The sequence below is a fragment of the Homo sapiens genome, chromosome 13, assembly GCF_000001405.40.
Source record: "Homo sapiens chromosome 13, GRCh38.p14 Primary Assembly".
In the NCBI taxonomy this organism is placed as follows: domain Eukaryota; kingdom Metazoa; phylum Chordata; class Mammalia; order Primates; family Hominidae; genus Homo; species Homo sapiens.
This window is the reverse complement of record NC_000013.11, coordinates 108,285,996-108,299,726: the sequence shown is the minus strand read 5'-3', so window position 1 is coordinate 108,299,726 and position 13,731 is coordinate 108,285,996. Positions and strand designations below refer to the sequence as shown.

Sequence of the window (13,731 nt, the reverse complement as noted above, 5' to 3'; positions counted from 1 at the left end):
CTAAGTTTAACTGCAGACAGCCTAGTGAAAGTTTGAAGAAATACCCCAGTTCAGAGGCTGTTTGTAAATACCAGGAGAGATTTTTATTTTTATTTTTTGACTTTTAATGTTTAACGAAATCTCTGTCAGGATGAGGATTAGCGATAAAATCATCTCTACCAGGCCAACAAAAGAGATAATAGAAGAAGGACTCCTGTGTCCACACAGGACAAGGAATAGAGTCTAGGCAAACAAAAAAAAAAGTATTTTGGAAAAATTACTAAACAAGTGAACAACTGCAGTCCACATCCATTAACAGAAAACCCTGAGGATGGGAGTAATTTTGATTTCCAGATTTGCTACATTGTAACATCCTAACTGCCTAACTGTTCACTTTTCAAGAAGAAACTTCAAGGCATACAAAGAAAGAGAAAATTATGAACTACTCAGCGGACCAAAAGAATAAAGTCATTATTACAAGATTAATACTCAATAGCGAATCACTTTTCTACCAGTGATCTAACACTTTTCTACCAGTAATAAACAAGTGGAATTTGAAATTAAAAACATAATGGCATTGAGATTATTACCTCAAAAAATGAAATACTGAGGAATAATCCAACAAAATATGTAAAAGATTTAAAGAACTAAATAAATGGAGAGCTATTCCATGTTTATGAATAGGAAGACTCAATATTGTCAAGATGTCAGTTCTTCCTGTAGATTCAATGCAATGTTTTGTTTGTTTGTTTGTTTTTTGTTTGTTTGTTTGTTTGTTTTTCCCAAGTCTTGCTCTGTCGCCCAGGCTGGAGACAGGGGTGCCATCTTGGCTTACTGCAACCTCTGCCTCTGGGGTTCGAGTGATTCTCCTGCCTCAGCCTCCCGAGTAGCTGCGACTACAGGCAAGTGCCACTACGCCGGGCTAAGTTTTGTATTTTTAGTAGAGAGGGGTTTCACCATATTGGCCAGGCTGGTCTCAAACTCCCGACCTTGTGATCCTGCCTTGGCCTCCCAAAGTGCTGGGATTACAGGCATGAGCTACCGTGCCCAGGTGACTCAATGCAATCTTAATCAAAATCAAAGCAAGTTGAATATCAACAAACTGAGTCTAAAGAATATATAGAGAAGCAAAAGACACAGAAATGCCAACATAATATTAAAGGATAAGAACAAAATGGGAGAACTAACACTACTCTACTTCAAGACTTACTATAATTGATTTTAATAAGATTTGGAATCTTTTTGTCTTTACCCTCCTTGAAGTTTACTGAACTTTTTAGATATGTAAATTTATGACTTTCTTCAACATTGGAAAGAGTTTGGCCATTATTTCTCCAAATATTATTTATTCAGATTTTAACTCTCTTCTCCTTCTGTGACTCTCATAATGCATATGTTCATCAGTTTAATGTATCCTGGGGGGTCTCTTATAATCTGTTCACTTTTCGTTATTCTTTTTTAACTTCATTTTTAGAGCCATTTTAGATTCACAGAAAAACTGAGAGGAAGGTACAGTGATATCTCATAGACCTCATACTCCCTACAGATACTCTCCCATTATCAAAATCCCCCACCAGAGTGATACATTTATTACAATTGATAAACCTACACTGATATATCATGAAGGAAACTTAAATTGCTATTACTAAAAAAAAGAAGTGAAAATAAAAATGTTACATACTGTGCAATTCCAACAACATGGCACTCTGGAACAAAGTTAAAACTACAGAGACATTTAAAAAATGCCATTTCCAGGGGATAAGCAGTGGAAAGGGAAAGGTAGTTGGAGTGAAGCACAGAGAATTTTTAGGACAGTGAAAATACTCTAATACTACAATGGTGGATACATGCCATTATGCATTTGTGCTAACCTATAGAAAGTAAAACATTAAGGTGAACCCTAATGTAAACTGTGGACTCTGGATGATAATGATATATTAGTGTAGGTTTATCAGTTGTAACAAATGTATCACTCTGGTGGGGGATTTTGATAATGGGGGAGGATATGCATCCGTAGGGAATATGAGGTCTATGAGATATCTCTGTACCTTCCTTTCAATTTTTCTGTGAATCTAAAATGGCTCTAAAAATAAAGTTAAAATAAAAAAGAAAAAAGAAAAGTGAACAGATTATAAGAGACCCCCAGGATACATTAAGCAGATGAACATAGGCATTATGAGAGTTACAGAAGGAGAAGAGAGAGAAAATTTGAAAAAAGAATATTTGGAGAAATAATGGCCAAACTCTTTCCAACGCTGAAGAAAGTCATGAATGTACACATCTAAGAAAATTCAGTAAACTCCAAGAAGGGTAAACACAAAAGATTCCTACCAAGACTTCTTAAAATCAAGCTATTAAAAGATAATGACAAGGAGGAGATCTTGAAAGCAGAAAGAGAGGCAATTCATCAAATATAAAATATGCTGAATAAGATTAATAGCTGATTTGTCATCAAAAACCATGGAGGCCAGAAGCCAGGGGAATTACATATTTAAAGTACTGAATGAAAAACACTGTCTACCATGTATTCTATATGTGGGAAAATATCCTTAAAATGTGAAGAAAAATTAAGATGTTCTCAAATAAAGAAAAACTGAGAGAGTTCATTGGTAGCAGACTTACCCTGTGAGAAATGCTAAAGGAGATAGAAATAAAACAAAAAGCACTAAGTGAGAATTGAAAGACATATGAAGAAATAAAGAATACAAGTAAAGGTACATACATAGGCAAATATAAAAGCCATTGTAAGTGTATTTTTAGTTTTTAACTTCTCCTTTTGTTTCCTATACTATTTAAAAGGCAAATACATAAAATAATAATTATTAATTTATGTTAAGGGCTTACAATGTATAAGCGTATATTTTGTGACAATAACAACATAAGAGAGAAGCTAAGTTGTTATCAATTCAAACCACATTGTTATAAATTTAGGATGTTTATTGTGATCACCAGAATAACAACTATGATAATGACTTTTAAAAATGCACAAAAAGAAATTAAGAGAAAAACAAAATGATGTACTTATAAAAGTCTATTAAAAACAAAATAAAGAGGTAATAAAGGAATTGAGGAACAAAACTTATAAAAGAACAAACAGCAACATAAGTAATTCTTTCCTTATCAGTAATCACTTTAAATATAAATGAGCTAAATTTAAATTTGGCAATTAAAATACAGAGATTGGTAAAATAATTTTTTTAAAAGCCCAAACTCATGATCTAATTATATTCTGCCTACCAGAGACTCACTTCAGATTCAAAAACACAAACAGGTTTTTGTGTTTCAAGGTTTCAAGATTAAAGGATGACAAATATGCCTCCTTGCAAATAGCAGCCAAAGATAACAGGGATGGCTAATACTGATATCAGAATAAATACATGTTAAGCCAAAAATTTTTATGAAACAAAGAGAGTATTAAATATTGATAACAGAGTCAATGTATCAAGAATACCTAATAATTATAAACATCACTCAACAGAACCTCAAGATATAAGCAGATATTGGCTGAACCGAAAGGAGAAATAGACATTTCTATAGTAACAGCTGAAGATTTCAGTATCTCACCTGAAATAATAGCTAGACCATCTAGGTAAGAGATCAATAAGGCAATAGTGAACTTGAACAACACTGTAAACTAACTGAACCTAACAGACACATAGAAAACACTCCACCTAAAATCAGCAGAACACATATTTTCAAATGCACATGAACATCGACCAAGATAGACCATGTTATGCAACAAAATAATTCTCATTAAATTTTAAAATATTTGAATTCCACAAATATCTTGTATTTTAAAAAGATATGTTTTTCATCCTTTGACCTTGAAACCTGTTTATGTTTTTCAATCTGAAATGGCTCTCTATTAAGCATTCATTTTAGCTACCTTCAATAACATAAGGAAAATTGGAAAACTCACAAATAAGTGAAAATTGAACAAATTCTTAAACAACAAATTGATCTATAAATAAATCCTAGAAGAAAATAGAAAATACTTTGAGATGATTGAAAATAAAAACACAGCATAGCAATATTCATAGGAAGCAGTGAAAGTAGCACTCAGAAAGAAATGTACAACTGTAAATGCCTATGTTAAAAAAAGATCTCAACATAATATCCTAAGTTCAGCTTAAGGAAATAGAAATAGAAGAAGAAACTAAGCCCAAAATTGACAGAAGGAAGAAAATAATAAAGATCAGATAATATAATAAAGAAGGTAATAATAAAGAAGGTAGATGGAATAAAGAGTACAAAAAGGACTGGGTGCGGTGGCTCACATGCAATCCCAGCATTTTGAGAGGCCAAGGCGGGTGAATCATTTGAGGTAAGGAGTTGGAGACCAGTCTGACCAACATGGTGAAATCCAGTCTCTACTAAAAATACAAAAAATAAATAAATAAATAAAAATAGCTAGGCTTGGTGGCACATGCCTGTAGTCCCAGCTACTTGGGAGGCTGAGGCAGGAGAATCGCCTGAACCTGGGAGGCAAAGGTTGCAGTGAGCCGAGATCGCACCATTGCACTCCAGGCTGGGTGACGGAGACTCCATCTCAAAAAAAGAACAGAAAAAGACGAAACAATAACACTGAAAACTGGTTTTTTGAAAAATATGAACAAAAATGACAATCATTGAGCTACATTGACCAATAAAAGAGAAAATACTCCAATTAATAAAATCATTAAAGAAAATGGAGGTATTATTAATGGCCCATTGGAAATAAAATGTCTATACCTTTTTATTATTTATAATAATTGTACTCCAACAAATTAGATAATGTAGACAAATGGGACAAATTCCTAGAAACACACAAACTACCAAAACTGACTCAAAAATAAATAAAAAACCTAAACAGACCTATAACCAGTGTAGAGTTTTAATTAATCCAAGTCTTCCCTCAAAATTCATAACTAGATGGTTTTACTGGTGAATTTTACTAGACATTTAAAGAAAAATTAACATCAATCTTCTCAAACTCTTCCAAAAAACAGTAAAAGAGAAGGGAACCATTCCTAACTTGTTCTGTATGTCTAGAGTTACACTGATATCAATGCCACACAAAGACACCACAAAAAACTACAGGCCAGAATCAACCATGAATATAAAGGTAATAATCCTCAAGATTATCCTAACATCAGAAACAAGACTATGCCTGCATTTACCACTGCTATTCAACATATGCTGGAAATTAAAAAAAAAATCCAAATGCAAGGAGAGTAGTAAAACGATCTCTATTTGCAGATATCATAATTCTATATACAGAAAATTTCCAGCCAGGCATGGTGGCTCACGCCTGTAATACTAACACTTTGGGAGGCTGAGGCAGGAAGATCTCTTGAGGTCAGAAGTTCGAGATCAGTCTGGCCAACATGGTGAAACCCTGTTTCTACTGAAAATACAAAAATTAGCTGGGTGTGGTGGCAGGCGCCTGTAATCCCAGCTACTCGGGAGGCTGAGGTGCGAGAATCACTTGAACCCAGGAGGCAGATGTTGCTGTGAGTTAAGATCATGCCATTACACTCCAGCTTGGGCAACAGAGCAAAACTCCATCTCAAAAAAAAAAAAAATCCATGAATTTACAAAAAAATCTACTAAAACTAATCAATGAATTCAGTTAAGTTTCAGGGTACAAGATCAACACTCAAAAATCTGTTGTGTTTCAATATACCAGGAATGAATAATCTAAAAAGGAAATTTTAAAAAAGAATCCCATTTACAGTAGCATCCGTTATGGATTGAATATTTCTGTCACCCAAAATTGATATGTTGAAATTCTAACTTCCAATGTGATGGTATTAGGGGGTGGTGCCTTTGGGAAATAACTAGGCTGTGGTAGCACAGCCTTCAGGATGGGTTAATGTCCTTATAAGAAAAGACACAAGAACTTGCTTTTGTCTCTGTTCTCAGCCATGTGAAAACACAATGAAAAGACCACCATTCACAAACCAAATCTGTTGGCACCTTAATCTTGAATTTTCCAGCCTCCAGAAGTGTGAGAAATACATTTTTATTGTTTAATCCACTCAGTCTAGTGTAATATGTTATAGCAAACTGAACTGACTAAACAGCATTCAAAAGAACATAACACCTAGAAGTAAATTTACCCAAGGACATAAAACACTTTAACACTGAACACTACAAAAGATTGCTATAAGAAATGATAGGACATATAAATAAAAGAGAAGATATCTTGTGTTCATGGATTGATAGATTTAGTTTAAGATGGCAGTAATACTCAGTATTATGTACAGATTCAGTCTAATCCATATACAAATTTCAGTGACCTTTTGTTCTCCAAAATGAAAAAGCCAGCCTTACAATTCATTTGTTATTGCAAAAGAGTATCAAATAGCCAAAACAATCTTAAAAATAAATAACAAGATTGAAGGATTCACTATCCTAAATTTCAAAATTTACTATAACATAACAGTAATCCAAATAGTATAGTGGTCCAGCATAAGGCGAGGTGTATAAAGAAACAAAATAAATTTGAGAGTACAGAAATAAACCCATACATCTACGTACAACTGATTTTTAACAAGTGTGCCAAGACCGTTCAATGTGGAAGAAATCATCTTCTTCAACAAATGATGTTGGGACAACTAGATATCCTCATGCTAAAAGATGATTTTGGACCTCTGCTTCACACCATATACAAAAATGAATTAAAATAGATTAATTACCTAAATATAAGACATAAAACTACAAGACTCTTAGAAGAAAACATATGGGTGAATCATGATGTTGAATTTGGCAATGAGTTCTTCAATGATAACACTAAAATCACAAGAAACAAAAAAAAGATAAATTTTACTTCATTTATCTGATGTACAACACTCTTGTGCCTCAAATGACATTCTCAAGAAAGTAAAAAGATAATCCACAAAAGAGGAGAAAATACTTGCAAATCAGATATTTGATAAGGGTCTTGTATCCATAATATATAAGGAAGTTTTACAACTCAACAACAAAAAGACAAACAACCCAATTAAAACACATGGACAAGGTACTTGAATAGACATTTTTCCAAAGAAGACACCAAAAAGGACATGAAAAGATGCTCAACATCATCAGTCATAAGGAAAATGCAAATAAATAACAGAGATATGGCTTCACACCCAGTAGGAAGGCAATACTAATAAAAACATTGAAAATAAGATGTGTCAGTGAGGATGTGGAAAAATTAGAACACTAGTACATTGCTGGGGGGAAGGCAAAATGTTGCAGCACTGTAGAGAACAGGTTGACATTTTCTCAGCAATTCTACTCATCGATTCATCGATGTATACTCCAAATAATTGAAAAGAGGCACTCAGGAAGTACTTTATGCAAATGTTCACAGGATCACTACTCACAATAGCCAAAAGGTGGAAACAAACCAAATACCCTTAATGAAATTATGGCTTACTTATAATAGAATGATATACATTCATACAGAGGCATGAAGTATGAATACATGCTAGAATGTGGGTGAACCTCAAAACATCATGCTAAGTGAAAGAAGCCAGGCACTAAAAGTCACGTATTGTGTGACTGCCTTTATATAAACCATCTAAAATAGGTGAATCCACAGAGACATAAAGCAGATTGCTGGTACAGGGGCATGGGGAGACAGAGAAATGGTAACTGATTGCTTAATGGATACAGGATTTTCTCTGGGGCTGAAGAAAATATTTTGGAGCTAGAGAGAGTTGGTGGTTGTAAAATATTGTGAATACTACATTACAATGAATTGTGCATTTAATTTTATGTTATATGAATTTAATTTCAATAAAAAGATATAACTGAAAAGGTAGCTACCCCTAGTATTTAGCATTTAGAAGTCTACGCTAACAGAAAAAGCAAAGCAAATAGCCTACATAGTAAGCAACCTCTTTAAAACTATAAAATAGAAACTCTTTTGTTAACATGAAAAACAATACACAGTATAGCACATTATGATGAATAAAAGCCAAATACATTTCTGAAATAAGTAAATGTAAATTGATTTATATCACCCAATAAATGAAAATTATTTTAAGATGATATCAAAAAACAAAGAGCAACTCTGTTTTGCATACATGAGAAACACAGAAAAATTATTTCAGAGAAGTTAAAAGTAAAATTTTGGGCAAAGTCATGCTAGGGAAATGCAATCCAAAAATAAAAGAAAACATTTCAACTTTAATATTGAAAAGATATATCATGGAATTCAAGGCTTTTATACACAAAAAGAACAACCAGCTGGAAAATATAATGAAAGAAAATGTTTCTATTTATCATAGCATTTGAAAAGGTAAAACACTTTGTAATGATATTAATAAGAAATATGCAAGAACTTCTTGAAGAAAATTTCAATACATACTAAAAGAAAAAAAAGGAGACTAAAAAAATATAAATATATATCATGTTCTTGGATTTGATCTGTACATCTGTTATCATGAGGGTATTTTTCTTAATTTATAAATATGAGATTCAACAAAAATAGCACGTATTTTTCTTTTTCTTTTTAACTAAGTAAGCTGATTCTACAGTTCCTATATTTAATAGAAAAAAAAGAAAAATTCTAGAAGTAAAAAGAAAAAATGAGTGAATTAAATTTACCAGAAAATAATACAAAGCCCTAGTAACCAAAATGCCATTTTATTGGGGTGCATAAATAGACATTAAGTCAATATGGTATAACAGAAAAGTATTTAAAAAGTGAAAAAAACATAGACTAAACATGGAATTTAATAAAAGTTAAAGTTAATGTCTTCAAGCAGTCTGGAAAAGATGGGCGATTAAAAAAAGACTGTGATGCCCTCACAGGGGAAAATTAAGTTGGTTTCATACCTTACATCTTATACCAGGATAAATTGCAAATAGATAAAGTATTTAAAGGTAGAAAATAACTATAAAGGTTTCAGAAGGAACACGAGATCTTTCCTTAATACGTTTAAGTGTAAAAGGTCTTTCTAATCACAACCCAAATCCAGAATCCTTTAAAAAAATTGACAAATTTGACAGAAAAAAAAAGTATGCAAAATTAAGACAAATGACAGTATGGGAGGAAATGCTTGCAATTAGTAATATAAAGAATTAATCTGCTTGAGATATAAGGTGCTCACAGAAATCAGTTTAAAAATGACCAAGTCCAACGAAAAAATGGAAAAAAATATGAACAGATGGCTCACAGAAAAAAATAAAAATAGACATGAAAAATTGGAAGAATGTAAAGACAGAAATACAAATGGTTCTTAAAACATACAAAAGAATGGCTTGAAAGAAAGCAAATTAAGAGATGCTATTTTTCACCTGATGCTCTTTTGCTGCAAGTGATAGCATAACACTTTACAACCCCTATAGGACCACTTAGCAATAACTGTCAAAATTCAAAATCTGTCCCACACATAGGCTGACATATGAGAAGTTACGGATGCACACAATTATTTTTCGAAGCACCTGCATTGCAAAAGATGGACACCAAGAAGTCTATTGGTAGGAGACTGGTTAAATACATTCAATTCATACAATGGAATACTATGCTGCTTTTTTTTTCATATGAGGATCTCTGTACACAGGCATCAAAATGTCTGCAATATACATTGTTAAGTAAAGAATGCAGGTTATAATCTCATTTTCAAATCATATGTATTGAAAATATGGTTTTTAAGTGTTTACTATAAGAAAGGAGGGAAGCAGAGCTACATTTGCATTTGTTTGTGTTAACATAGAGGGAGTCTGAAGTCTATGTAGGAAACTGAAAGTGAGGTGAGTGTGGGCAGGAACAGATGGGAAAAGGAGCAATCCACACTCTTCATGCTTTTTTATTTTTTGCAACGTGTGAATGCATTACCTATTCAAAATCTAGATTAAAATTCAAAAAAACAAATGAACAGAAAAGACATGAGACTACACTCTGATAAACCCCTCTTGTCTTTTTCTCTTTTGTGAAGTTTACCTCTGCCCTCACTGTCTGGACAAAAGTATGGGGCAGAGCAAGCATAGGAACTCAAAATATCAGATGAACGTAGCCCCGCTCCTTTGAATCTCCATGTCTCTGGAATACATAACATGATTTCATCTCAAGACCTGATGTTATGTATAATACAATAAGATAATATATACAATATGCTAATAATATTTATATATATAAATTCTTTCCCCAGAAGATAATAATATATTATTATATATAATTATTATAATACATTATATATTATATAATATATAATTACATATAATATGCTAATAATATTAATAATATATTATTATCTTTTCCCAGAAGTCTTCTTATGGACCTGTGCAAGTAAAATGCTTTAGTGAGTACAGCCTTTTTTAACAAAATGCAACCTACCTGCTAAATGCAATCTGCCTGCTAAATGCCCATGCACACTCACATTTATATACTGGTCAAGGGTTTGCTGACATCACAAGGGCAACCTGTCCATCCTAAAGGTTGGAGCACTGCAAGCAAGCATCCCAGGTAATCACCCCAGTTCAGCACCCCTGGATCTGTGGCAAGCAGTCACCACTCCAGGAAGATCACAGCATACTCTCCAGTTCACACGCACATTGGAGTATAGCAGCTGCATAATTTGGTGCAATTTATAGCATTTTGGGGGGTGGGGGAGAGATGTGTAAAGTAAACCTTTTCAAAAGAATTTTTAAAAACTGTAACTTTGGCCCTTAAGATCTTCTGGCTTTCTTTTACTTCTTAGGAAACAGTGTGCTGCTTATTAAAAGTTGCAAACATGATTTAGGAAAATGTTGAACAATAAATAATAGATTTACAAGTAGTTTAGTACTTGTGTTGCATTTAGGACAATTAAAGTCACGCAGAAAAAAACACAGATGAAAAGAGCATGCCAGGGAATCATTACCAGTGCCAACTCACATTCATCATCTGTGCTAGTGTTGTTTTGCCCATTCCTCATCGCCTAGCCTAACCTCCAGATACTCCTGAACTCGTAGTTCGTTCACAACACAAAACTTTCTCCTGCCCCCGCCTGCTTTGCTGCCCTCCACAGCATTTCGTCTCATCTACATTTTACTTGTTCATTTGTGGGTTGTTGGGCCTTTCGTTTGTTTTCTCCTCATCAAGAGGTAAGCTCTTTCAAAGTAGAAAACCATGCATATGGACTTGCGATGGTTTGGCTTAGAATCTTCAACTTTACAAAGGTGTGAAAGCCACATACATTCAGGAGAAATCATACTTCATTCCAGTATTCAAAACACAACATGAGCTACTCAATACTTTACTATAAAATGGGCTTCATGTTAGATGATTTTGCCCAATTGTAGACTAATGTAAGTGTTCTGAGCACATTTATGGTAGGCTAGACTAAGCTATGATATTTGGTAAGTTAGATGTCCTAACTGCTTTTTTCAAGGCCCGTTATTTTCAGCTTAGGATGGGTTTATCAGGACATAACTCCATTGTAAGCCAAGGAGCATTTGTGCATATTTTAGTCACTGATACACCCAGTAAACATACAGTAATTAAAATATTGTATATTCTTAATTAATAAATGTAAACTAAATGAATCAATGAATGTGTGAGTGAACGAATGGTTCTTTTTTAGTACATTTTTGTTCACTAGTTATCTTATATAAACAAATGCTATTATAGAGCATCAATTCCCATTTGCTTTCAGAGAGAGGTCGATACATGATAAAGCAGCATAGTCACAAAAATTTGTGAAAAACTGGATGAAACAAAGTTAAACAAACATTTTTTAAAGTAGGACTACTTAGATTCAATAACTTGCTAATGTGCCTTGTGACTCAAAGAAAAATATGTAAGATGCTGTGTTTCCAAACTTATACGACACTGAAACTCTTATTTCAAGGACCATTTCTCTGGATTAACATTCTAGGTGACACATATTGGGAAATGACATTAAAAGTTGTTTCTTTGTAAACCTGGTTTCAGGCCATTATTATGGAAAACACTTAACTTGTCTAAAATTAAAACTAAAAAAGGCTTCAAATAACTGAAAAATGTAAAACATTCTACCTCTGTGAGAAAACGGTAAATTATCAAGCAATAATTTGATGTTGGAAATTTATTTTAAAAATACAGATTTTTAATAATCTGTTCAGTTTTATTTTCCTCTTTCTATGATTTTTACAATTGAATATAACAGGAGAATTCATATTTGTGAAGATGGTCTTGAGTCATTCTTAAAGATAAAATGCTGTCTAAATAATAAAAATGGAATTTGATTTATTATTGGTTTTTATTTTATTGTAGTTTAATTATTTAACATTTCTAAGTATTCGTGCCTCTAAGGTCATTCTCCTTATTAGATTATTACTTTGGTCTTAATTATTATTTATTCCCAAGTCATTTTGAATAAATGTAGGTTTATTATTTTTTACCTGATTATAAGAAGTTCTGAGATGGCTGATTGATTTTACATGCAATTCAAATACAGTCTTTAGACTTGAAACTTACAAATATTTGGAGTGGACTGAATTCTAAGTGGAAAAAGTACTGGGGATATTTTATTTGTTTTTATTATACTTTAAGTTTTAGGGTACATGTGCACAACATGCAGGTTAGTTTCATATGTATACATGTGCCATGTTGGTGTGCTGCACCCATTAACTCGTCATTTAACAGTAGGTATATCTCCTAATGCTATCCCTCCCCCCTCCCCCCACCCCACAACAGGCCCCGGTGTGTGATGTTCCCCTTCCTGTATCCATGTGTTCTCATTGTTCAGTTCCCACCTATGAGTGAGAACATGCGATAGCTTGCTGAGAATGATGGTTTCCAGCTTCATCCATGTCCCTACAAAGGACATGAACTCATCATTTTTTATGGCTGCATAGTATTCCATAGCGTATATGTGCCACATTTTCTTAATCCAGTCTATCATTGATGGACATTTGGCTTGGTTCCAAGTCTTTGCTATATTTTATTACCTTTTTGTATAGTTGGTGTTTCACTGTCTGCAATCAGTTGCAAGCAGTCTTGAGTGACTAAAAAGCAAAAATTTATCATTTTAGTTACTTGAGTAGAAATAATAAAGAAACTGAGAACACAAAGCTAGAAACCCACTCTTCCAGAAACACTAAATCAATTATACTTTTTACATTGATTGCATGACATTATTCTTAAAGTTACTTTATATTTGCCCATTGATTTATATATATGATATATATATATGAAATTCATGACATTTCAGAAAAGCTCTATGTGCTGTTAAAATATAATATCACCCTTACAGTTTAACCTAATTTGCTCTGAGAAATGGCTGAAGAGAAAGCAAGTTTAATCATTTGTTTTGCAAGTCTACCAAATACATGAAACAGTTAACCTTATAAGAACATTCTAAACAATCTTTGGTTTTAAAAAATCTAACATTAAATAATGACCTACTACTACAGAAAATACTATTTCTGACACTTATGAAAGTAAAAAAAAAAATGCTAATACGTATTGAACAGATTTAAGTGCAGACAGTGTACCAAGACAGTATATATCACTTCCTTTTACCCTCACAAGAATCCTAAAAATTAGATATTGGAAACTAAGGCTCGGAAAGTGCAAACAGCTTGTTCAGGAATCAGAGACAGAAAGTGATGGGACCAGAATTTCAACCCCACCTGTTTCACTCTGGATCCAAAGTCAAGCTTTTGGTAAAATATATTGGACCAAAGAGAGAAAGAGAGATAGAACATCTTTTACAAATAAAATGGAAGACTTCCATGCAAGTGCATATAGTTAGTAAAGCTTCCTGAAAACATCAATTCACATCACATATTACATGTAGAATATTCCAGTCA

At 33.1% G+C, this 13,731-nt stretch overlaps 1 protein-coding gene across 3 annotated transcripts in view; it reads right to left on the bottom strand.

The window, feature by feature from the left end:
* Window positions 1-13,731, bottom strand: part of TNFSF13B (TNF superfamily member 13b) — a 38,856-nt gene that overhangs the window by 8,758 nt on the left and 16,367 nt on the right. For 2 of the 3 annotated variants that reach the window (XM_047430055.1, NM_006573.5), the window contains exon 3: window positions 12,868-12,924. The exons of the other annotated variant lie outside the window; for it this stretch is intronic. In XM_047430055.1, the coding sequence (XP_047286011.1) occupies window positions 12,868-12,924 (57 nt within the window). The remainder of the gene's footprint in view (window positions 1-12,867; window positions 12,925-13,731) is intronic. 3 annotated transcript variants of the gene reach the window in all.